The sequence below is a fragment of the Homo sapiens genome, chromosome 13 (assembly GCF_000001405.40).
Source record: "Homo sapiens chromosome 13, GRCh38.p14 Primary Assembly".
NCBI lineage: Eukaryota > Metazoa > Chordata > Mammalia > Primates > Hominidae > Homo > Homo sapiens.
In genome coordinates, this window is record NC_000013.11 from 95,952,214 (window position 1) to 95,979,679 (window position 27,466).

Here is a 27,466-nt window from a genome sequence, read left to right on the forward strand (position 1 = left end):
GAAGAAAAAAAGAAATTAACAAAAAAAGATACGACGGCCCCAGGCTTTGCTAGGGTCCAAGATGAAAGCATTATCTGTGGTCATTCTGATACTGATAAGATTTTGGCAAAAGATATACCCACCCCCTAGTATCTGTAGGGGGATAGGTTCCAGGACTCCCCGAGGATACCAAAATCTAAGAATATGCAAGTCTCTAACATAAAATGGCATAGTATTTGCATAGAACCTACTCACATCCTTCCATATACCTTAAATCATCTCTAGATTACACGTAATGCCTAATACAATGTAAATGCTATGTAAATAGTTGTTATATTGTTTTAAAATTTGTATTTTTTTATTGTTTTTCTTTTTTTGAGTATTTTCATTCCATGGTTAGTTGAATCCAGGCATGTGGAACCCTTGGATATGGAAGGCCAATGATATTTTGCATCTATGATCTTATTGAAACCTATTTACCAAGTCACGAGGAAAAAGTGAGTTTGTGGGTTTTTTCCCTTCTATGAAGATAATATGAAAATCATAGCTTATGAGATTAGGAGACTGACATGTTTTAATTCACCCTAAAATTGTATTATTGTCACCAAGGCTACTCTTGGCAGTTAAATTAACTAAATTCTCCATACTCATGTGGAAAAGAAAACCTCTAGAGATTGATCAAGAATGTAAGACAACTATATAAAAACTATAATGAAAATATGCTATGATCCAAATGTCTTGATGTCTTTTATGGAGTGACTCTTACTGAATGAGACAATGTTACGACAATATGTACCTAAAGAAATTATTATACTTTAAGTTTTTTAAATTTTAAAGATCTATTATGATTATGATTCTTAACATTACTTTGGGCATATTTTCTGTCATTTTAAATTGGCTTTTAAAAAGTTGACTGCTACAACAGTGAATGAACACATTATATGTGAAATTTCAACACCAAAGCTGGCTGTAATAAAAGATAAATGACATTGTTACCATCAAAGTGCAAAGCAAAAGGAGAGTTTTGGTTAAATCCAGAAAACCTTGAAACTGTCTTTGTTCCCTTCATGCTACGTCTAAGTTTATGGAAATCTATGAGTGCATTATATACTTTAGTATTCCGTAAGAAAAATTTTGCAATGTCTTTTTCTTTTCAGAGAGCTGAAGGACAAATGATGCTGACAAGGGGACAGTCAGAACCTGCATACTTTGAATGCAATACCAGGGCACTAGTGCCAAGAGTTACAAAAGAAGAAGAGCCTTTTAACTTTGGCGGGAGTGCAGAAGGGAGGACCAAAATTGTAATTTGAACACATTATTGAGTAAGATCATATAATGGAAAAGGAGGAAACTGGTTTAAAGAGATGAAATAAAGGTAGAGGTTAATTAGAACTACCAACATAAATATATGCCCTTTTAAAAGAAGAAAATTTTTTCTTGCTCTGTCTTCACTCTTTTCTACTCTGAATATTTTATATGAAACAATATGAAGTGCACATCTAATGCCCAGATTTTGGTCATTAGCACTATTTTCTACAAAAAAAAAACTTGGTGAATAGGCCGTTCCACATTTGGAGAAAAAAGAATCAAGATGATCTATGAGACACCCTGTCAGAAGGGGGTAGTGTTTAAAGAATAAAGAGGTCAGTTTGAAGGGAAGGCTGCCAGAGGCCATGTGCTGATTATTTTATCATCTAAAAGAAAATAGTTACTATAGTTAAAAAGAACTTTTAGTGTTTGTGAGAGTCCCTAAGCATGCTCAAAAGGAAATGTTTCAGAGATAAGTCAAATATACTACAGGTTGAGCATCCCTAATCTGAAAATCCAAAACGTTCCAAAATCTGCAACTTTTTCAGTGCTCACATGATGCTCCAAGTAGAAAATTCCACACCTGATACCTTTGTTTTCTGATGGCTCAAGTACACAAACTTAGTTTCATACACACAATTTAAAAAAATATTGTCTAAAATTACCTTCAGTCTATGGGCATAAGGTATACATGAAACATAAATAACTTTCATGTTTAGACTTGGGTCCCTTTTCCAAGATATCTCATTATGTATGTAAACCAAAAATAAAATTCTATGCCCCACAACAATCTGAATGGACTCCTCCTTTTGGCAAGGGCATTCCAAAGTTAACCTGAAAAACTAGCTCAGGCCATGATGGGAAGGGGGAGTCAGACAGGCCTCATTATTCCCTCCTTCCTTTTGGAATTCAGACACAGCTGAGCAGCATTAACATTAAAGCAGATCTTAAGACTGATAGAACAGATGCTTTAAGTCTGATTAGAAACATTTACAATCTATTCTTTCTGAAGCTGCCACCTGAAGGCTTCATCTGCATGATAAAACCTTGGTCTCCACTACTGCTTATCTTAAAACAGACATTCCTTTCTATTGATTCCAGATAACAACTCAGCCAACTACCAACTAGAAAATCTTTGAATCTGCCTATAACCTGGAAGGCACCTGCTTCCAGATTTCCTGCCTTTCCAGATGTACCAAACCAATGTACATCTTACATATATCAATTGATGTCTTATGTCTCCCTAAAATGTATAAAACCAAGTTGTAGTTTGACCACCTCGGGCACATGTTCTCAGGATCTCCTAAGGGCTGTGTCACAGGCCACTGGTCACTCATATTTGGCTCCAAATGAATCTCTTCAAATATTTTACAGAATTTGACACTTCATCAACACATATATGCAAATATTCTAAAATCCAAAAAACTGAAATCTGAAACCCTTCTGGTCCCAAGCATTTTGGATAAGGGACACTCAACTTGTAATGTGTAACAGTTGTCTATGCCCGATGTCTTACAAGAAAGTAGAGGGCATAAAGAACAAATCACTGAATTACTTAAGAAATGTGAACTACTTTGGTTTGTTTACTCAGTGTAGCACTAATCCTTCAGGTAGGACAAACTGCTATCATAATAACCATGATTGGTATTTGTAGATTCAACAAATCTTTTAAAAAGTCAAAATACTATGTTCCTATTTTTAATTATGAATCTTGAAACAGGATGAATTACAAGAATAGATCTCAGGCGGCCTAAAGTCTGTGTCCACCAGGCTATGATACAGCTGCAAATCATTTTTTTACAAGTTACGTGCACCTGGTAAATAGGTAGATTAGTTTCCAGAAAAGTTGCAATAGGCCAAAAAGGTAAAAAATGAAACAAAACAGAAACCTAGTGAGAGTGGGAAATGCAAGCTTAAGAATCTAGATAGGATATTTATGCAAATCAGGTGGTACCTGGGTGTAGGCTGTTGCTACTCATAAGGTTCTTTTCTGTTAGTTGCAAAACAGTAATACTTCTGAGTATACGAAATGAATAAAGGTGTTCCCTCTCTGCAGGACAAATTATAAAAGGATGTAACCCTTCCTCTTATCAGGAAGGGCACACACAAGACACGGCCAGGAGAAATGTGCTCAGAGTTTAGCCCCACACTCTTTCCCTCAACCAGGTACACATGGGCAGTAGAGGGTTTGGTTAGAGGGTCAAGCCTCCCTAAGTTTTCAGTTTTCAAAGCGCTCAAACAGGGCTGCTGCATATTATTGTTCATTTTTTGTGCATACTTCTTCATTTTAAGATAAAGTCTATAAAGTGATATTTCTTTTGAACTTTAGGAAATGTTTAAACAGATGCAGTAAATGTAACTAAGTAATATGATGTCACAGTTACAAGCATGAGTTCAAATAACCTTTTAGTGTCTCAGTTTCTTCATCTGTATAATGGGGATGCTATCAATACCTAATAGGGTCGCTGTGCAAATAAAATGAGATAATTCATTTTAAATGCTGAACATAGTATCTGGCACTCTGCTCAATAAATTTAAGCCACTGTTGTTAGTAAAAGGCAATCACAAAGCAGAGCAGGAAATAAAATTTAACGACAAGCTAAAACAATCTTGATAAAGAAGTATAAAGTTGGAGAACTCACACCTCTTGATTTCAAAACTGACTATAAAGCTACAGTAATCAAAACAATGTGGTACTAGAATAAGGACAGACATACAGATCAGTGGAATAGACTAGACAGCCCAGAAATAAATCTGCATTTATGATCAACTGATATCTGACAAGGGTGCCAAGCAAAGGTAACCAAAAAAAGGTGGAATTCATAAAAATTAAAATTTTGTTGTACATCAAAGGACACTACTAACAGTCAAAAGGCAACCTACAGAATGGGAATAAATATTTGCAAATCATATATCTGATAAGGAATTAATATCCAGAATATATAAAGGACTCCTACAACTCAACAAAAAACAAAGAACCCAATTTAAAATGGGCAAAGGACTTGAATAGATATTCCTCTAGAGAAGATATACAAATGGCCAACAGGTATTATGAATCAATGCTCAACATCACTAGTCATTAAGGAAATGTAATGAGAACCACAATGAGATACCAGTTCACACTCATTAGGATGGCAATTGCCACAAAGCAAAACATGCCAAAACCAGAAAATAACAAGAATTGGTGAGGATGTGGAGAAATGGGAACACTTGTGAACTGACAGTGGTAATGACAAATGATGTAACAGCTGTGAAAAACAGTTTGGCAGTTTGTCAAAAAAGTTAGACACAGAAATACCATATGATTCAGCAATTCTACTTCTAGGTATATACCCACAAGAACTGAAAGCAGAGATTCACACAGGTACTTGTACATCAAAGTTCATAGCACAGCATTATTCACAATAGCCAAAAGTTAGCAGCAGTGTAAATGTCCAACAGATGAATGGATAAACAAACTGTGGTATATACATTCAATGAAATATTATTCAGTCTTAAAAAGGAACAAAATTCTGATACATGCTACAACATGGATGAACCCTGAAAATATTATGCTAAGTGAAATTAGCCAGACACAAAAGAATATTGTATAATTCCACTTATATGAAATATCAATAGGCAAATTAATAAAGACAGAAAGTAGATAGAGCTTACCAGAGTCTTCAGGAAGAAGGGTATGGGGATTTAATGTTTAATGTGAACAGAGCTTCGTTCGGGATAATGAAAAAGTTCTGAAAATAAATGGTGGTGATGGTTGTACAACACTGTGAATGTACTTAATGCCACTGAATGGTTAAAAGAGCAAATTTTATGCCATGTATATCTAACCTGAATAAAAACTACTTTGTGACAATCTCGTGGGAACACAACCTTTATGGAGGGTGGGTTCCAAAACCAGCTATACTCCTTATGGACTGGAATTCCTGGGGTTTGGGGCCTGTGGTAGTCTTGACAAATTAGCAGTCTTATCAGTGCTTATGAAGAGATAGTCTGCTGAAAGCAGCAGGGTGGCAGAGAAGGGAGGCACACCGTCTGAGACTGATATCTGAAAGCTTGCCAGAATCTGAGAGACAACTCAGGGAAATGGGGCTTTGCAGAGTGTGGGGACAATGGGAGCAGCATAAGGGCTTAAAAGTCCAACTGCTCCTCCACACACAGAGTGACTGTCCTTCACTGCCAACCTTAGAAGCAAGCTAGGATATTATTTTACAAAGAGAATAGGAAGGTTTCTTTATAGGTCTGTTTACTATGTCTAGAAGAGCCTTGACAATTACTGCACTAATTTTCTGTGTGACTCTCTCTCAGCATTCTTTTCTACAAAAGCTAAAAAGCACAAATTCTTAAATATCAGATACAAGTATTAAGATTACTTACAAGGTCATTCCTTTTTCTGACATAACATTTTTAGAAAAGACATCTGCTATTGAGATTAAAGACAAAGTAAAAGTAAAATCTAGCCAATGAAAGAATACGGTCTAAAGAGTGGTAGAAAACAGTAACAAACATCTATATAACAAGTCACTTCGTGTTCTAGAAAACACAAATGATAACTACTTAGTAATTTGTTATTTATCCTGAATCTGAAGTTTCTGATGTTCAGGGAATATGGCGTTTCTTTCGGGCTGCTATAGTCCTTTGGCTCTGAGAAGGCAGAATTTTTTTTTTTTTTAAGACAGAGTCTTGCTCTGTCGCCCAGGCTGGAATGCAGTGGCACGATCTTGGCTCACTGCAAGCTCCGCCTCCTAGGTTCATGCCATTCTCCTGCCTCAGCCTCCCGAGTAGCTGGGACTACAGACGCCCGCCACCATGCCCGGCTAATTTTTTGTACTTTTAGTAGAGACGGGGTTTCACCGTGTTAGCCTGGATGGTCTCCATCTCTCGACCTCATGATCCACCCGCCTAGGCCTCCCAAAGTGCTAGGATTACAGGCGTAAGCCTCCACGCCTGGCCAAAGGCAGGTAGTTTATGAGCAGGAAGGTTTTTCAAGTAAGGCAAAACTAACTATAATAACTGAGATGCTTCAGAGAGAATCCCTTACATTTTTATATAAAACAATCAGCAAAAATTTCAGAGAGGATTTTTCCCCTTAAGATCTTTTTTTTTTTTTTTTTTAAGAAGGGGCTTCAAGATGGCTGAATAGATGTATCTGCTACTTGCCTCTTCCATGGAAAGGAACCAATATAGTAAGCAGATAATCACACTTCGAATAGGTCGTCTAAGGGAGCACACTGGAATTCACCAGAGAAGTGACAGGAGTACCCGAAAGCAAGAAAGGAGAGGGAAATAAGGCAGACTGCTAGGCTGGGATTGGCTGGAAGCCTAGAGAGGTTCCCTAATGCAAGGAAAGTGTAAGTGAGAGACCCTCAGCAGTCCACGTTTCCACTACGGACTCCTACCAACCTAACCATGGAAAAGCCCCTTCACCCTTATGGGCTTCTGAGACTAACAGAGGGAGCTACCTGGAGATTGCACAATGCCACTGATCCAGAGAGGGAGCTCATGCCCAGTCCCACAAACCCCTGAGTCCTAAGCCACTGCAGTATGGCATCATTTTGAGAGCCCAGCTCCCACAGACTGTGTCCTGCCCTGGGGCCTAACAGCCCCCGCATCTCCATATCTCTGGGGTCCCACTGACATTCCCTGCTAGGGCCAAGGCAGAACCACTGGCAGTCACACTGCCTCCCCAGCAGAGGGACAATCACACATTTCCATGCACCTGAGGACAAATTCCATTTGCTGCAAACTGTGTGTGTGTGTTTTGGGGTGGGGGGACATAGGATGAGCAAAGCATGCCCCAGCCACCTGCCTCCAATTGCTCCTGTTGAAAGTGACTTCACCCTCTCCAGTAGCAGAACAGCAGCACAGCTGCTGCTGCTGCCTCTACCTGAGCATCCACCTATGGCCGGTGGATCATCCCGCTCCCCTGCTGCCCACCAACCATAGCCAGAGCCTGAATGTACCAACATGGGGCCTAAGAACCATCTTGCCTGGTTCTATCACCCCCAGTACCTAAGCATGCTGTCCAGGGACGTGGGGATCACCCAGCACAATCCATTACCATTGGCATCTGAGCACACCTCCCAGTGTCATGCCCACCCAACCTGCCACTACCATCACCTCAGGGCCTGGGCAATGGCTGACCCAGCCCATCACAGCTACTGCCAACACTGGCATGGACCCTTAGGTCCTAGAGAATTGTCCCGCCACTTACTGCCATTGCCCGTGCCACAACCACTGCTCAGGTGCTCAAGAACCTACCTACCACTGTCATTCCCAGCACCCAAGCAAGTCATCTAGAGGCCCAAGAATCAACCTCCCTGCACCTGCTAACACTGGTGCTAGTGTACACCACCCTGGGGGCCAAGGCTCAACCCACCATCGCCACCCATAGGGCCCTAAGTCTGGCCCAACTGGTGTCCCACATTTCAGCAAAACTTCATCACAGCCTCCACTAGCAACTGTGCTACAAGCCACCTAGCAAACAGAGACACCACTGATGCTGTTTACAGATGAAGAAATCATACAGAGATTACCCTACTGCACACATTGAGAATCAATGCCAAAAAGTGTACTATGCAACTAACACCATAAATGGTCAGGAAAAAGTCTTCCCCTAACAATGGAAATTTTTAAAAAATGGAATAAGTAACTGTTACACCAGATGCACAGATGTCAACGTAAGGACACAGGAACATAAGCAATCTCCAAAGGAACACAATAATTCTCCAGCAACAGATCCCAATCTAAAAGACATTTATGAAATCCCAGAAAAACAATTCAAAATATTGAAATTAAGCTCAGTGAGCTATAAGAGAATACTTTAAAACAATCCAAAAATATCAGAAAAACAATTCAGGAAATAAGTGAGAAATTTACCAGAACCAAATAGAAAATTCATTGAATGACATGTAAAATGTATTGAAAAGCTTCAGCAGTGGACTAAATCAAGTAGAATCAAGAATCTCAGAATTTTAAGACAAGACTTTTGAAATATCCCAGTCAAATAAAAATACATACAAAAAAGAATAAGCAAAGCCTATGTGACATATGAGACACCATAAAGTGACCAAATATTTGAATTTTGCTGTCCCAGAAGATTAAAAAAAAAGTATTAGAAAACCTATTTAATGAAATAACAGAAAAAGACTTCCCAAGTCTAATGAGATTTAGATATCCAAATACAGGAGGCACAGAGATTCCCAAATAGATACAATTCCAAAAGGTTTTGCCCATGGCAAATTATAGTCAAACTGTCAAAATTTAAAGAGAAAGAGAGATTTCTATAAACAGCAAGTGAAAAGCATCTAGTGGGAACACCCATCAGATTAACAGCAGATTTCTCCACAGAAACTTTACAGGCCAGGAGAAAATGGCATGATATATTTAAAGTCCTGTAAGAAAATGCCTGCCAGTTGAGGATACTATACCCAGCAAAGTTATCCTTCATAAATGAAGGAAAAATAAAGTCTTTCCCAGACAAGCAAAAGCTGAGGGAATTCTTCACCACTAGACCAGCCCTGCAAGAAATGCTTAAGGGAGTCCTATACCCAGAAGTGAAAGAATGGTATCTACCATCCTGAAACATAAATACCACTGGTAGAACAAACCACTGAAGTCAGAGAAAAGATTCAAATGTTACCAATACAGAAAACCAACAAGACACAATTGTTAAAGAGAGAGAGAGAGAAACAGAGAACACACAAAATAAACAGAAATCAACTAATAAAATGACAGAAATAAGTCCTCACATATCAATAATAACCTTGAATGTAAATGAATTAAACTTTACACTTAGAAGATACAGACTGGCTGAATGGATTAAAAAACAAGACCCATCCATACACTGCCTTAAAGAAACTCATCTCACTTGTAAAGAGATATATAAACTGGAAGTAAAGGAATGGAAAAAGATAATCCATGCAAATGGAAACCAAAAGCAAGCAGGAATAGCTATACTTTTATCAGATAAAACTTTAGGTCAAAAACAGTTAAAAGGACAAAGATAGTCATTATATAATAATAAAGGGATAAATTCTTCAAGAAGTTAAAACACTCCTAAACATATATGCACCCAAACACTGGAGTACCTACACATATAAAGCAAACATTATTACAGCTAAAGAGAGAGAGAGACTCCAAAACAATAATAGCTGGAACCTTCAACACCCTACTCTCAGCAATACCTAGATGGAAAATTGAAAAGAACACTGGATTTAAAATGTACATTTGATGAAATAGACTTTAGAAATTTACCCAATATTTCATCCAATAGCTACAAAATACACATTCTTCTTACCAGCAGATGGAATATTCTCCAGGATACACCATATGTTGGGACACAAAAACAAGTCTCAATAAATTTTTAGAAATTGAAATCATATCAAGTATTTTCTCACACCACAATGGAATAAAACTACAAATCAATAACAAGAGAAACTTTGGAAGCAATACAAACACATGGAAATTAAACAACATGCTCCTGAATTACTGGGTCAAGGAAGAAATGAAGGAGGAAATAAAAAATGTCTTGAAACAAATGAACATGTAAACACAACATACTAAAACCTGTGGGATATAGCAAAAGCAGTGCCAATAAAGAAGTGTGTAGCAGTAAGCTCTTATATCAAAAAGGAGAAAGATTCAAATAAACAATTTAATGATGCATCTCAAGGAAATAGAAAAGCAAGAACAAACCCAAAATTAGCAGAAAAAAATAAATAAGATCAGAGCAGAACTAAATGAAATTGATACTAAAGAAAAAATACAAAGGATCAACAAAATGAAAAGTTTGTTTTTTGAAAAGATAAACCACTTGATAGACTAACCATGACAGAGAAGACCTCCAAAAAAGTCAGAAATGAAGAAGCACACTGATATCATATAAACAAAAAAGATCATCAGAGACTATTATAGAAAACTATACACTAACAAACTGGAAACCTTGGAGGAAATGGATAAATTCCTGGACATATACAACACACCAAGACTGAATTAGGAAGAAACAGAAAACCTGAACAAACCAATAATGAGTAATAAGATTCAATCAGTAATAAAAAGTCTCCCAACAAAGAAGAGTCCAGGACTAGATGGCTTTACTACCTAATTCTACCAAACTTTCAAAAAAGAACACAAATTCTCCTCAAATTATTCCCAAAAAAATGAAGAGGAGAGAATTCTTCCTAACTCACATTCTATGAAACCAGCATTACCCGGATACCAAAACCAGACGAGGACACAACAATAAAGGAAAACCACAGGCCAATATTCCTGATTGTATTAGTCTGTTTTCATGCTGCTGATAAAGGCATACCCGAGACCGGGTAATTTAAACAGGAAAAAGGGTTCAAAGGACTTACAGTTCCATATGACTGGGGAGGCCTCACAATCACGGTGGGAGGCATGGAGGAACAAGTCACATCTTATATGGATGGCAGCAAGCAAAAAGAGAGCTTGCTCAGGGAAACTCTCCCTTATAGAGCCATCAGATCTCATAAGACTTATTCACTATCATGAGAACAGCATGGAAAGACCTGCCCCCATGATTCAATTACCTCCCACTGGGTCCCTCCCACAACACGTGGGAATTCAAGATGAAATTTGGGTGGGGACACAGCCAAACCATATCACTGATGAACACAGATGCACAAATTCTCAACAAAATACTAGTAAGCCAAATCCAAAAGCATATCAAAAATATAATACACCATGATCAAGTGGGATTTACCCCAGAGATGCAAGGATAGTTCAACATACACAAATCAATAAATGTGATACATCACATCAATAGAAGAAAAAAAAACCATATCCTCTTAATAGATGCAGAAAAAGAATCTGATTAAATTCAACATTCATTCATGATTAAAAACTCTAAACAAACTAGACACCAAAGGAATATACCTTAGCATAATATAAAGGCCAGAAATGACAAACACACAGCTAACATCATACGCACTGTGGAAAAGCTGAGTTCTAAGAACTGCAACAAGACAAGGATGCCCACTTTCACCACTCCTATTCAATGTGGTACTGGAAGTCCTAACCAGAGCAATCAGGCAAGAAAAACAAATGCATCCAAATTGGAAAAGAGGAAGTTAAACTGTCCCTCTTTGCACACAACATGATTGTATATCTAGAAAAACCAAGGACTCCACCAGAAAATTCTTAGAACTGATAAATTCAATAAAGTTGCAGGATATAAAATCAGCACACAAAAATCAGTAGTGTTTCTATACACAAATAATGAAATAGCCAAAAAAGAAATCAAAAGGGTAATCCCATTTACAGTAGCTGCAAAAAATACTTAGGAATTAATTTAACCAAGGAGGTAAAAGATCTGTACAAGAAAAAATTGAAAAAGACAGAAATAAATGGAAAAACATCCCATGCTCATGGTTCAGATAAATATTAAAATGATGATACTGCCCAAAGCAATCTATAGATTCAATGCAATCTCTATTAAGATATCATCATTTTTCAGAGATAGAAAAAAAATCCTAAAATTCGTATGGAACCAAACAAGAACCTGAATATCCAAAGCCAAAACTGGATGCATCACACCACCTGATTTGAAAATATAGTTACAGTAACCAAAACAGCATGGTATTGATATAAAGACAGACACACAGACCAATGGAAGAGAACAGAGAATCCAGAAATAAATTCATGTATTTATAGCCAATTGATTTTTGATAAAGGTGCCAAGAACATACATTTGGGAAAGGACACCCTCTTGAATACATGGTTCTGGGAAAATCTGATATCGATATGCAGAATAATGAAGCTAGACCACCATCACTTACCATGTACAGAAATCAACTCAAGATGGATTAAAGACTTAAACATACCCCAAAGTATAAAACTACTAGAAGAAAACATAAGGCAAACACTTTTGGACATTGGTCTAATAGGTAAAGATTTTATGGCTAAGACCTCAAAAACACAGACAACAGAAGTAAAAATAGACAAATGGGAAAAACCTTCTGCACAGCAAAGGAAAAAAAATCAACAGAGTGAAGAGCAAGCCTGTTCGATGGGAGAAAATATTTGCAAACTATTGCTACAGGGGCTAATATTAAGAATATACAAGGAAGTTGAACAACTCAACAATAAAATAAACAATCTTATTTTTAAAAGAGCAAAATATCTGAATTTCTCATAAGAAACCATTCAGGACATAGGCATGGGCAAGGACTTCATGTCTAAAACACCAAAAGCAATGGCAACAAAAGCCAAAATTGACAAATGGGATCTAATTAAACTAAAGAGCTTCTGCACAGCAAAAGAAACTACCATCAGTGTGAACAGGCAACCTACAAAATGGGAGAAAATTTTCGCAACCTACCCATCTGACAAAGGGCTAATATCCAGAATCTACAATGAACTCAAACAAATTTACAAGAAAAAAACGACCCCATCAAAAAGTGGGTGAAGGACATGAACAGATGCTTCTCAAAAGAAGACATTTATGCAGCCAAAAAACACATGAAAAAATGCTCACCATCACTGGCCATCAGAGAAATGCAAATCAAAACCACAATGAGATACCATCTCACACCAGTTAGAATGGCGATCATTAAAAAGTCAGGAAACAACAGGTGCTGGAGAGGATGTGGAGAAATAGGAACACTTTTACACTGTTGGTGGGACTGTAAACTAGTTCAACCATTGTGGAAGTCAGTGTGACGATTCCTCAGGGATCTAGAACTAGAAATACCATTTGACCCAGCCATCCCATTACTGGGTATATACCCAAAGGACTATAAATCATGCTGCTATAAAGACACATGCACATGTATGTTTATTGCGGCACTATTCACAATAGCAAAGACTTGGAACCAACCCAAATGTCCAACAATGATAGACTGGATTAAGAAAATGTGGCACATATACACCATGGAATACTATGCAGCCTTAAAAAATGATGAGTTCATGTCCTTTGTAGGGACATGGATGAAATTGGAAATCATCATTCTCAGTAAACTATCACAAGGACAAAAAACCAAACACCGCCATGTTCTCACTCATAGGTGGGAATTGAACAATGAGAACACATGGACACAGGAAGGGGAACATCACACTCTGGGGTCTGTTGTGGGGTGGGGGGAGGGGGGAGGAATAGCATTAGGTGATATACCTAATGCTAAATGACGAGTTAATGGGTGCAGCACACCAGCATGGCACATGTATACATATGTAACTAACCTGCACATTGTGCACATGTACCCTAAAACTTAAAAGTATAATAATAATGAAAAAAATAAAGAAATTATACAGATGGCAAACAAGTATATAATGTTCAACATCACTAATTATTAGATAAATGTAAATAAAAGTGACACGGAATATCATTTTACCCCAGTTAGAATGGCTATCATTAAAAAGATAAAAGAATAGCAGGTGTTGGTGAGGATGTGGAAAAAAGGAACTCTTATAGATAGTTGCTGGGAATGTAAACTAGTATAACCACAATGGAAAACACTATGGAGATTCCTCAAAAATCTAAAAACTGAACTACCATCCAATCCAGCAATCCCATTATGAGGTATTTTTTGAAAGGAAAAGAAACCAACATCTCAAAGAGATACCTGCACTTGCCTGTTTATTATAGCACTATTCACGATAGCAAACATATATAATCAACGTTAAGTGTCTATCAACAGATGAATGGATAAAGAATATGTGGTATATATTCACAATGGAGTATTATTTGGCCACAGAAAAGAATGAAATGTCATTTGCAGCAACATGGAGGAAACTGGAGGTCACTGTGTTAAGTGAAATAAGCCAGATACAGAAAGACCAATATCCTGTGTTCTCACTCGTAAGTGGGAAATAAAAATATTGACCTCATGGAGTTAGAGTAGAATGATAGATACCAGAGGCTGGGAAGGGCATGCTGGTGGGAGGGGTTGATGAAGAGAGGTTAGTCAATAGGTACAAACAGTTATCTATACAGTTAGATAGAAGGTATAAATTCTACTATTCAATAGCAAAGTAGGGTGACTATAGTTAGCAGCAATATATTACATAATTCAAAGTAGCTAGAAAAAAAGACTTAAAATGTTCCCAACACATAGAAATGATAAATACTGCTAGTGACGGATACCCCAAATACACTGATTTCATCATTACACACCTTACATACATAAGAAAATATCACATGAATCTCATAAATATGTAAAATATTGTGTATCAATTTAAAAAACCAAAAAACTATTTTCTTATGATCATGTAAATAATACATACCCATGGTTAAAAGTTTGGAATTCACAGAAGAACATGATGAAAAAAATTAAAACTACCCATTAAACCACATCACCCATTAATGCCTTAAATTTTGATATATTTCCTTCTGATCTTCTGCCCATATTTTTACATGACATAATTCTATATTTTTTACTTAACAGAATCATTATCTTAAGTCATATTTATAAACATAATTTTCATGTCAATAATACTCGATTGTGTGAATGTAAAATTTATAACGCTTCTCTGTTAGATAACTAGTTTCTACTTTGTTTTCAAAATATGTAGTGATAATCATATCTTTGGCCACAAAGCTTTTTTTCCATTTCCCACTGTTTTTTTATGATAGTTTCCAGGAGAGAAATTACTAGACAAACTATGTATCGTTATAAGGGCACCACAGGCATAACCTTTTTTTTTTTTTTTGAGATGGAGTCTTGCTCTGTTGCCAGGCTTGAGTGCAGTGGCACCATTTCAGCTTACTGCAACCTCTGCCTCCAAGGTCCAACGTATTCTCCTGCCTCAGCCTCCCAAGTAGCTGGGACTACAGGCACGTACCACCACACCCAGCTAATTTTTGTATTTTTAGTAGAGACAGGGTTTCACCATTTTGGCCAGGATGGTCTTGATCTCCTGACCTTGTGATTTGCCCACCACGTGCTCCTCAAAGTGCTGGGATTACAGGCGTGAGCCACCACGCCCAGCCCCCACGCGCACCCCCAACTTTTTTGTTTTTTTTTTTTTTTGAGATGGAGTCTCGCTCTATCGCCCAGGCTGGAGTGCAGTAGGGCGATCCTGGCTCACTGCAACCTCCACCTCTCAGGTTCAAGCGATTTTCCTGCCTCAGCCTCCCAAGTAGCTGGGACTACAGACACGTGCCACCACACCCAGCTAATTTTTGTACATTTAGTAGAGACGGGGTTTCACCATGCTGGCCAGGATGGTCTCAATCTCCTGACCTCATGATCCGCCCACCTTGGCCTCCCAAACTGCTGGGATTACAGGCATGAGACACTGTGCCTGGCCAGGCATAACTTTTTAAAAGGATATGCTGATTTACACGTCCTCAGTTAAATTCTAGTTTTTATCAATAGGTATTGAGATATTATTTCATAGTGGTTATTATTAGGGTATTTACATTTTTATGTTATTGTAAATAAATCATTATCTTCCAAATAGATCTTGAAAGAAAAGCTTTTGATCTTTATCATGTCACTTCAAACCCATTTTATTAAAGCCTTTTATTATAGCTTTCTTTGAGGAGTTTCAGTTATACAATCTTGTCACACAACACTTTTATTTCCTCATTTCTAACAGTTACTCCTTTTATAATAATATTAAATCTTAAGGATAATTATATTGATCATGTTGTAATTGTAATGCTTCCAGAGTTTCATCATTAAAAATGATGTTTTTTGTTGTTTTCAGATAAATAGTTACTTATTCATTTAGGGAATATTTATATTTATTGAGTACCACTAAAACCAGGGACATAATGGTAAGAGAAAAAATGAAAAAATTTCTACCTTCAAGAACTTTATATATAGCCTAATAAAAAACAGATATAAAAGCATCACAGGATAAATGTAAAACTATAACTGTGCTAAGTATACGAATGGATTAATAGTTCTGACATATAATGTATGTATATGTGCTGATATAATTTGGATACTTGTCCCCACCCAAATCTTACGCTGAATTGTAATCCCCAATGCCGGAGGTAGGGCCTGATAGGACGTGTTGGGTCATGGGGGCAGATCCCTCATGTCTTGGTGTTGTCTTTGTGATGTGACTTCTAGCAAGACCAGGCTGCTTAAATGTATGGCACCTACCCTCCAACACTCTCTCTCACTCCTGTTCTTGCCATATGAGATACCTGCTCCCTCTCTGCCCTCTGCTGCGAATTAAAGCTCCCAGAAGCCAAACAGATGTTGGCACCATGCTTCCTATAAACCCTGCAGAACTGTAAGTCAAGTAAACTTCTTTTTTTTATGAATTACCCAGTCTCAGGTATTTCTTTATAGCAAGGTAAGCATGGCCTAATACATGTGCTATACCCATACATGTATACATGTATGAAGAATCACATTATACACATATACGTGTGTGTGTATGAAAGGGTTAACTCAAGAGGCTTGGGTTGCTCACACCTTGGATATTCCCAAGAAGGGTCTGTTTACATGACTGTCTCTTGACTGGGTCCTGATAATTAAGCTCTTGGAATGTTCTGATTGATAAAAGAGTGTTTTGCACAGTTAGGAACCTGAGCCATGCTGCAGCAGTTCCAGCAGTTTGTCTAAAGAGTTTATACAATCTGAGTTATAATAAACATCTGCTTTTCCTCAGTCCGGAGATTCAGCCACTGATGGCAGGTACAGAGAGCCACTGTATGTCTACATGATGGATCGTCTCTCACAATCTTGAACTCAGGCTCAAGTAAGTGAGCTTCCCTGGTAGGAAGCACTTTGCCCACATTGTCATATATCACATTAAGCACACAACTCCACTAGGAGGGAACTCTTGGAAGCTTATACCTGGTTTACTCTGGACTTCACCCCTGCTGATTTTTTCACATCATTTTGCTCTACTAAGCCATAACCATGAATATAACAACTTCTGGGTCTTGCAAGTCCTTCTAGCAAATCACTGGATTAGAGGTTGGTCTCTGGGGATTCTCTTAACACAACATGTAGATTTAAAAAACCATCTGGATTGTTAAGGAAAGTTTCTCTCAGAAAGGGCTATTTCAACCTAACTTTGAAAAAGGAATAGGAGTTAACTGGATAGAGAAAAAAAAAGTGCTTTCTAAGCATGAGACAAAGGATAGTAGTGAAAAGAACGTTTCACAGTCTAAGAAATGAAAGGTGACAGCAGCCATCTGCAGCCTCATAGGCCATACTGAAGACCACTTCTCTGCTTAAGCAAGAAAGGGTGATATGATCAAATGTTTTTCACAAAAATCACTTGGGCTGTAATACACACACCAGAACCTTTGGAGGCCGCTGCAAATTGTTTCGGCAGGACTTTCATCATGTTAAGGTAGCACTTTTATATACACCTCAGATTTTAACCATGTATTTGGTGTCTTGTTGTTATTGTTCATGTGGTTATTCTGTTGTTATCTCTGAAGGTGGAAAAGACACTGAATGAGATTGAGTAGGTATTCTTGTGACAAAACAGAGACTATGAAGAAGGAGAAGGAAGCTGCAAGTGGGAGAGGAGATGGGTCTATAGTTTGACTTTCTCTTTTCACTGAGAACTGTTCCAAAATGCTGACATTTATCATCAGGCCTGCCGATACTTCATTTTATGTTAAGCCTTAAGTATACTACAGGTTTTAGAACAAGGAATAGCATAAGCACTTACCATTATAGAAGAATGTCGAATATCTAATACATAAGTATATTCCCAAATGTGTGAATTTAATTTTAAAAATTTGCTCATATCTTCCCCATTGATCCCAAGATTGCGAAGGCCATTCATCATTTTTCCTTCTAATTTCAGCATATCCAAAATACTATATATTCAAAGAAAAAACAGTTTTATTTTGATTTTCCAAATTAAAAACAAATGTTTTAAAGTTTGATAGTCTTAAAGCATTAGAAATGAGATTTTTTGGTATCTTCATTAATAGCAGGAAAAATATATTAAACTCATTAAGAAATAAGGCAAATAGTTCTAATTAGTTATCCAGAGTAAACTTACATAATTTTAGTGGTAGTAAAAACTTATTATTATATAAAAGATAAAACAACAAAGACTATTGTATTCTTTATCAAAGTAGTGAGGATATGATCAGCCCTGAGAAAGCCAAAAATGAGAAAAAAAATATTAGGTCACTCTTTTGACAAACCTACTACAAAAATAATGTAAGATCGAACAAGACATAAAGTATAAAATTCTAATACAGAGGAAGCTCCATTAAATCATGAAGTTCACGTGTGTTTGAATACAAATTTAAATTTTTTATTACATATAATTTGAAAGTTCTTAAACATAATAGAAAGTATTACTGTAAACAACAACATCAACAATAACCCCATTGACAACAAATTGGGGAATCTAAATGTTTAAACTACTCTTCATCAAGTCTGTGGCTGAGGCGACTATTCAGAGGCAAAAATATAAAAGGGACTCTTTAATGGGCTAGAACAGAATGTTTTAATGTAGATATATAAGACCCTGCTTATGGACTTCATCAGTCCTACTTGCCTTTCTCCCCAGTCAAAGTCACATGTTCTTACTGTCTCAGTCTCCCTGGGGGTGAGATGTAGGCCTTTATAGAACCAATGCTGATCTAATCCTAACCCATGGAGGCTCTGGCTCCTCCCGCTACTCTCAGGATCAGAGCAAGAAGGGCTGGGCCATGTATGGGGCATGTTATTGGTTCTCCACAACCCAGTAATGCAATGACTGAAAGGAGATAGGAAGGGAGCACAAAATAAATCCTTTACTCCTGTTCTTTCCCCACATGGACGATTCCAAAGTATTGGCTGCATAAAACCTCTCTATATATAATGTCTCTGTAATATGACATTTTACTTCCATTTCCTTATTTTCTTCCATTCATCTTCCTCTTTGCATTAATTTTATTCCACATCCTCTGAAGACACAAATATTCTCACATTTTGTCTCTTCCTCTTTTAAGAGAATCATGGTAGCACTAAGCAGTGATCAAATCAATGAGGAATAACAATGTAGCACACATCCTGCAAATCACTAATGACCAGGTGTAGGAGCTGGGGGGTTTTATTTTTTTAATAACCTACAGCCTTCCTAAATTATACGTGAAAATATTCCTGCCATAAAAATTTCCTCATACACTACCTTAGAAAACTTTCTAAAATCTACATACCATTTCACTACTTCCTTTAAACCTGTTTTCACTGCTGCTGGGCACATATATAATTTTTGTTCCCCTGAAATTTACAGGCTAGCATTTACAAACTTCTCTACTCTTTCTATGTGTATTATATGTATCTATCTTATTATTTTTACAATACTAGGTCCAAGAATTCAAGTAACTAAAGAGAAAAGCCCCATTTGAGATAAAACTGTAAAAAATGTTCAGTAAAACTACTTCTCAGTCTTTCCAATATATTTTCCAACGTATTTCCAAACTGGTAAGAATTTAAATAAACAATTCAAATAATTTCACTTCAACAAAAGTATATTCAATTGAATTAAAACTGAACATCTGAATTAAAGTATCATGTATCCTAAGTTCATCTAATGTTTCAAATATTAATTTTAATGTAGTTTTATGTTTCTCTATAAAAGTAACTCTTCTGTTTGGCCCACAACTGTAATTTTGGGTGAGTGACCATTGATAAAGCAAGGACTTCCTAATTCTGTCCTGTTCAAAATTCTGAGCAAAAAAATTTTGAAGAATTTTTTTTTTTTTTTTTGACAAGAAACCAGATAGCATCCAGCATTCAAATACAAGCATTTTAAATTCCTCTTGTCAATTTCTGTCTTCTGGGGAAATACCCCATGTTGACTTCAGTCCTTATCTGGTATCTGGTTGTTCAGTCCAGTTCCAAATAACTTCTCTGCAAATCATCAATCTACTCTTCAATAAGAGACAGTTTAGAATAACAAAGTAATTATAGGTCTAACCCTCATCCAAACAAATATCTTGACTGTTTCTCCCAGTTCTGATATTCTAAGACACTTTGGGCTTGCCCATTTTGGTAGAAGAAAGCTGTTTTGTACAATCAAAAACATGTATTTATCTTTAAAGTGATCTTCATATTTTGACTTACACTAAATTCAAGACAATGTTTATTTTTATATAAACCATAGTTCATTTACAGCAATAATTTAATACTTACCTAAAAGCGTCATAAACATCCATATCAACACGAAGGCCATTTATAAATAGACGAGCATCGCCTGGCTGAATTTTAAATCTAACTTGAAGATCCTTGAAGTAGAGCAAAGCAATAGTTAACCAGTGATAGAACAATAGTGACCTATATTAGGGGTCACCATATTATTTCTATAAAGAGTCAGAGAGTAAATATTTTAGGTTTGGCAGGCCATACAGTCTCTGTTGCAATTATTGATCTCTGCCTTTGTATCTTTAGATACTATGTAAACAAATGGACATTGCAATGTTTATTGTAAAAATTAAGCTTTTAGGCCAGGCGTGGCGGCTTACGCCTGTAATGCCAGAACTTTGGGAGGCCGAGGTGGGTGGATCACCTGAGGTCAGGAGTTCAAGACCACCCTGACCAACATGGTGAAACCCCATCTCTACTAAACACAAAAAATTAGCTGGGCGTGGTGGCACATGCCCGTAATCCCAGCTACTTGGGAGGCTGAGGCAGGAGAATCACTTGAATCCAGGAGGCGGAGGTTGCAGTGAGCCAAGATTGCACCATTGCACTCCAGCCTGGGCAACAAGAACGAAACTCCATCTCAAAAAAATAAATAAAATAATAAATAATAAATAAAAATAAAAATTAAGCTTTTATTTATAAAAATAGGTGGCAGACCATATTTGGCCTAAAGGTAGCAGTTTGCCCAGCCCTGATCTCAGTGATGGGGGGAATCTTAAGATAGATTAGAGATAAAATTCAATACCTGAATATTCTGATTTTACAATACATGATATTACAGTTCTAATGTTACAATAATTACTTATCTACATTTCATATAGTGTGTGTATGTGTACATATACAATTTGCTAGTTGGCACATTCCTATTTCTTGAGGCAATGATATGCCAAAAGTAAAACTTTGATTTATGTGTAAATATTTGGAGCTCACTCTAAATTCATAAAAGTTTCCATTAAAGCTATATTTGATTTTTCACTGTCTTTCATTCAGTAAACATTTCCTGAGTGCCTGCTATGTTCTAGAAACATCTCCAGGCGCTAGAACAGTTAACAAAAGTAAAAAGGGGGATGTTCTTGTCACTAAAGCAAAGTAGTCAAGATCACAGTGTAAGTATCCAGTACGGTTGTCAAGATCACAGTGTGAAGATCATGCTTGGTTTAATCCTGATCTTTCTACTTATTAGCTGTTAAGATTTGGGCAAGTTCAAATCACTTTCATAATCCTCAGTTTCCTCATCTATAAAATGGGAATAATTATATCTATCTCACATGTTTGCTATAGTTTAAATGTAATATACATCTATGTCTTGTCACCTATAAAGTGCTCACAAATGAAAGCTGTTATTATCAGGGTAGGCAAATATATTTAGGAGGAAAAACAACCAGTGTATTTCAACATCATATGATAAGTCACATAATAGGGACTTGTGTGAACTACTCTGTAAAGGCAGAGGAAGCAACTAACTTGAAGAGATTCAGAGAAAGCTTGACAATGGTGAATTTTTCTGTACGATTATCACTCAACAGATGAGCTACACACAGAGGAGGGAGAAGAACTTAAAGTATTTCTACTTGTTTTATACAGAATACTGGCAAAAGATTAAACCCTGATATGAAAAGGTTCAGAGGTAAAATTTTTATTTGTCTTTAGCTACTTTAGATGTGCCTATCAAAGTTAATTAAGAAATCCATATTCCAACTTCAAAATCTACAGATGCCTAGTGAATTTATATTTCCTGCTGTTTTCCCCCAATCTGGCATCGAAACTTCACACACCCTGATTGAAGCTTTCTCCAGCACCTCATACATTCGTTTTAGTGGAGCTCAATTGTAAGTACAAAGTACACCAAGCATGCAGATCCATATTAAATTGCTAAATCCCTCAAGACTGTTTATGTCAGGCCCAGGGCCTTGAACAATAATGCTCAGAAAACAGGTAACAGACTGAACTCAGCAAGTCTGCTTGCTCAAACACTGTCAGAGAGAAGAGGTTTGCCTATCAGAGATAAGTAATTACAAATTCTTCTCTTTCCTCTGCCCCAGAGAGTTACCCTTAAGTCCTGAAAAACTAGTGTATATTTGAGTATGTAATTTAAGGTGGCCTTTCTTAAATGAGGAGTAAGAATTCAATTTCTAGCAACATGATGAACCAAAGATCCAAACATTTTCTTACTAAAAGTATCAAAATGCTAGATTTAAATATTAATAATGAGACTGGGTGCGGTGGCTCACACCTGTTATCCCAGCACTTTGGGAGGCTGAGGCTGGTGGATCACTTGAGGTCAGGAGTATGAGACCAGCCTGTCCAACATGGTGAAACCCTGTTTCTATCAAAAATAGAAAAATTAGCTGGGTGTGGTGGTGCATGCCTGTAGTCCCAGTACTCGGGAGGCTGAGGCAAGAGAATCGCTTCATCCCAGGAGGTGGAGGTTGCAGTGAGCTGAGATCGCACCACTGCACTCCATCCTGGATGATAGAGCGATACTCTGTCTCAAAAAAATAAATATGAAAAATGTCCCCTAAATGCGGCTCTGAGTTGAAGAAAGTATTCACCTAAGGACAGAGAGGAAGTAGGAATATGAATATAGAGATGTAAATAAACACTAAAGACCTTGCCTGGAGGAAATTTAGAGCTTCCTAGATGACCTAGGATTTGGGTTTTTAAGGGCCAATCTCAGAAGAACAAGAAATTTAAATCCAGGACCCACATCCAGATATCCTTATGCACACATAAAGTGCTACACTTATGGTGAAAAGGTGAATTAGAAAACAAAATGCTCTGCAGTAACAGCATAGAAATTTGTCTACCTCACCTTGGTTCTTGGTGGAGGAAGAGTAAGTCTCCCAAATGAATTCATGGCCTCTAGCTTATTTTCATATGGGTTTGGAGCTGGATTTCATACTATATTTATAGTCCAAAAAACTTAGATTTTTGTATTTAAAGTGCAATGAAACTAGCAGCCCTCTTAGGCTTGAGCAGAAATAAATGCAAATCCTAATGAAGAAATATAAGCTCATTTTTCCTTAAAGAAGAGGGAACCCATTTATTCTAATATGTCTCTTTAATAACCAATGGAGCTGAGCTATTACCTGAAGCTAAAGAAATTCCAATTGATTGGATCTCAGAAGACTGGTTGAGATTTACAATGTTAAAATGGTTTATAAACATGTTTGGGTGTTCCTAAGGTGAAATGATACACACTCTGAAATTTAAATTTTTCTTAAAAATTTTATTTTTAATTTTCACGGGTACATAATAGTTGTACACATTTATGGAGATCTTGTGATATTTTGATAGAAGCATATAATGTGTAATGATCAAAGCAGGGTAATTGGGATATCCATCATCTCAAATATTTACCATTTCTTAATGTAGGGGACATTCCAAATCCACTCTTCCAGTTAAAGTATACAATAAATTAATGTTAAGCATAATCACCCTATTATGCTAATGAATAGATCTTATTCCTGACTGTATTTTTGCACCCATTAACCAACCCCTCCTCATTTTCCCCAGCCTCCAATAACCATCGTTCTACTCTCTACCTCCATGAGATCAGTGTTTTTAGCTCTCACATATGAGTAATAACTTGTAGTATGTCTTTCTGTGTATGGCTTATTTCACTTAACATAATGTCCTCTATTGTTGCTAAAGATGACAGGATTTCTTTTTTATGACTAAATAATATTCCATTGTGTCTATGTACCAAATTTCCTTTATCCACCCATCCATTAATGGACACCTAGCTTGAATCCATATTTTAGCTATTGTGAATAGTGTTTTAATAAACATGGCAGTGCAGATATCTCTTTGATATACTAATTTCCTTACTTTTGGGTATATATCCAGCAGTGGGATTCCTGGATCATATGGTAATTCTATTTTTCATTTTTTTTGTGAACCTCTATACTACTGTTTTCCATTGTGGCTTTACTAATGTACATTCCCACCAACAGTGCACAAGGGTTCCCCTTTCTCTGTATCCTTCCCAGAATCTGTTATTTTTTTTGTTTTAGAAAAAAGCCATTTTCCATACTGTCCAAAGTAATTTATGGATTCAATGCTATTCCCATCAAGCTACCATCAACTTTCTTCACAGAATTAGAAAAAACTACTTTAAATTTCATATGGAACCAGAAAAGAGCCCGTATAGCCAAGACAATCCAAAGCAAAAACAACATAGCTGGAGGCATCACGCTGACTTCAAACTATACTACAAGGCTACAGTAACTAAAACCGCATGGTACTGGTACCAAAACAGATACATAGATCAAAGGAAGAAAACAGAGGTCTCAGAAACAACACCACACATCTACAACCATCTGATCTTCGACAAACCTGACAAAAACAAGCAATGAGGAAAGGATTCCCTATTTAATAAATGGTGCTAGGAAAACTGGCTAGCCATATGCAGAAAACAGAAACTGGACCCCTTCCTTACACCTTATACAAAAACTAACTCAAGATAGATTAAAGACTTACATGTAAAACCTAAAACCATAAAAATCCTAGAAGAAAACTTAGGCAATATCATTCAGGACACAGGCATGGGCAAAGACTTCATGACTAAAATACCAAAAAGCAATTCCAACAAAAGCCAAAATTGACTAATGGGATCTAATCAAACTACAGAGCTTCTGCACAGCAAAAGAAACTATCATCAGAGTGAACAGGCAACCTACAGAATGGGAGAAAGTCTTTGCAATCTACCCATCTGACAAAGGTCTAATATCCAGAATCTACAAGGAACTTAAACAAATTTACAAGAAAAAACAAACAACTCCATCAGAAAGTGGGCGAAGGATATGAACAGACACTTCTCAAAAGAGGACATCTATGCAGCCAACAAACATAAGAAAAAAAGTTCATTATCACTAGAGAAATGCAAATCAAAACCACAATGAGATACCATCTCATGCCAGTTAGAATGGTGATCATTAAAAAGTCAGGAAACAACAGATGCTGGAGAGGATGTGGAGAAACAGGAATGCTTTTACACTATTGATGGGAATTTAAATTAGTTAAACCATTGTAGAAGACAGTGTCGATTCCTCAAGAATCTAGAACCAGAAATACCATTTGACCCAGCAGTCCCATTAGTGGGTATATACCCAAAGGATTATAAATCATTCTACCATAAAGACAAATGCACACGTATGTTTATTGCAGCATTATTTACAACAGCAAAGACTTGGAACCAACCCAAATGCTCATCAATGATAGACTGGATAAAGAAAATGTGGCACATGTACACCATGGAATACTATGCAGTCATAGAAAAGAATGAGTTCATGTCCTTTGCAGGGACATGGATGAAGCTAGAAGCCATCATTCTCAGCAAACTAACATAGGAACAGAAAGTGAAACACTGCATGTTCTCACTCATAAGTGGGAGATGAACAATGAGAACACATGGACACATGTGGCCTGCCAGGGGGTAGGGGGCAAGGGGAGAGAGAGCATTAGGACAAATACCTAAAGTATGCAGGGCTCAAAACCTAGATGATGGGTTGATAGGGGCAGCAAACCACCATGGCACAAGTGTACCTACGTAACAAACCCGCATGTTCTGCATATGTATCCCAGAACTTAAAGTAAAATTAAAATTAAAAAAAGAGCAAACTTACAAAAAAGAAAAAAGTCATTTTAACACGTGAGACACTATCTCATTGTGGTTTTGATTTGCATTTCCCTGACGATTAGTGATGGTGAGCATCACTGTTGGCCATCTGTATGCCTTCTTTTGAGAAATGCCTATTCAAATTTTTTGCCTATTTTAAAATTAGATTATTCATTGTTTTGCTGTTGTTTGAGCTCCTTATATATTCTGGTTATCAATCCCTTGACTGTTGAATAATCTGAAAATACTCTGTCCCATTCTGTAGATTTTCTCTTCACTTTGTTGACTGCTTCCTTCTCTGTACAGAACATTTTTATCTTGATATGATCCCATTTGTCCAAATTGCTTTGGTTGCCTGTGCTTTTCAGTTCTTACTCAAGAAATTTTTGCATAGACCAATGTCCTAAAGCATTTCCCCAATGTTTTCTTCTAGCAGTTTCACAGTTTCAGGTCTCACATTTAAGTCTTTAACCCCTATTGATTTGATTTTCGTATATGGTGAGAGATGGGGGTCTAGTTTCATTCTTTACGATTAAAATTTGAAGTCAAATCAGATATAAATCTTAATAGAAATGTTGTCATTTTCAGAATAAGGAATAAGACAAGATAAGACTTAAAAAGTATGATTTACAGATGTAGTTTTGAGAGATGATGTTCTAATATAGGTAATGTCTCCAGAACTCTGTATAATTCTCACACAAAGTAGTTAGAAATAATTAGAAGCAACATCAACTTTTATTTGGGTAAGGTGCAATCCTTTATTTGAATATCTGCATTTTAGTTAATTCAAGTATCTGCATTTGGTTCATTAAGCAATTATGTAATTGAAATTATTTGTTCCACTCTGCTGAATCATAAAAAGTTACCTGACCACCTGATCATATCCTCATTTTATTTTGAAGCAAATAAAAAATGTCATGGACTATAACAATTCTTGCAATAAACAACAAAGACGTATGTTGGGTTGACAATTTAAAATCACCAAAAGCAGATTCTGGCCACTCACAGCAAATTAACAACAATTATGAACTTCCAAAGGAAATTTGCTGTACTTTGGAGTTAAAGCAGTTGTCTCCTAAATAAAACCAAACTCAAATTCAGTTATACAACTTGAGCATAGTCATAGTTTTTGAATAATCTTTGCTTGAGTCCCAAGTCAAAAACTATATAAAAAGCTACACTAGAAGAATTATGCCAATCCTGGCACCCTTCACCCGTTTCATCCCTGGCTCTTATAGGCAAAATTTTCTCCCAAAGTTTCTTCTCCATCCTCTAGTATTTCTTCATGCAAAAACTAGAATAGGTAAATATATATTCTCATTTCCCCTGGTCTCTTACGCAAAAAAAAAAAAAATACAGACTTGCTTACAGAATGCCCTGCCAACTTTTTGAAATCTTTCTTTCTCAGTTTAATTCTGATCTGTATTCTTCTTATTATGAGTAAGGAAAGATTGTTATTATGTATTTAAAG

General features: G+C 36.8%; 1 protein-coding gene across 13 annotated transcripts in view, besides 3 other annotated features; it reads right to left on the reverse strand.

The window, feature by feature from the left end:
* UGGT2 (UDP-glucose glycoprotein glucosyltransferase 2) overlaps positions 1-27,466 on the reverse strand; it is a 251,822-nt gene that overhangs the window by 150,634 nt on the left and 73,722 nt on the right. For all 13 annotated transcript variants that reach the window (XR_931617.2, XM_047430471.1, NM_020121.4 and 10 more), the window contains 2 exons: positions 20,367-20,458; positions 17,899-18,049 (listed from right to left, as the gene is read on the reverse strand). Coding sequence is in view for 12 of the 13 variants with exons in the window: in XM_047430471.1 (XP_047286427.1) it covers positions 17,899-18,049; positions 20,367-20,458 (243 nt within the window). In the remaining variant the exon portion in view is untranslated. The remainder of the gene's footprint in view (positions 1-17,898; positions 18,050-20,366; positions 20,459-27,466) is intronic.
* Positions 1,786-2,688: an enhancer, noted in NCBI's record as "OCT4-NANOG hESC enhancer chr13:96606253-96607155 (GRCh37/hg19 assembly coordinates)". NCBI's record gives its function as "activates a minimal SCP1, AML or CMV promoter by ChIP-STARR-seq in naive and primed H9 embryonic stem cells {active_cell/tissue: H9 hESC(naive and primed)}" and the evidence as "EXISTENCE:reporter gene assay evidence [ECO:0000049][PMID:30033119]".
* Positions 6,880-7,381: an enhancer, noted in NCBI's record as "H3K27ac hESC enhancer chr13:96611347-96611848 (GRCh37/hg19 assembly coordinates)". NCBI's record gives its function as "activates a minimal SCP1, AML or CMV promoter by ChIP-STARR-seq in naive H9 embryonic stem cells {active_cell/tissue: H9 hESC(naive)}" and the evidence as "EXISTENCE:reporter gene assay evidence [ECO:0000049][PMID:30033119]".
* Positions 7,382-7,881: an enhancer, noted in NCBI's record as "H3K27ac hESC enhancer chr13:96611849-96612348 (GRCh37/hg19 assembly coordinates)". NCBI's record gives its function as "activates a minimal SCP1, AML or CMV promoter by ChIP-STARR-seq in naive and primed H9 embryonic stem cells {active_cell/tissue: H9 hESC(naive and primed)}" and the evidence as "EXISTENCE:reporter gene assay evidence [ECO:0000049][PMID:30033119]".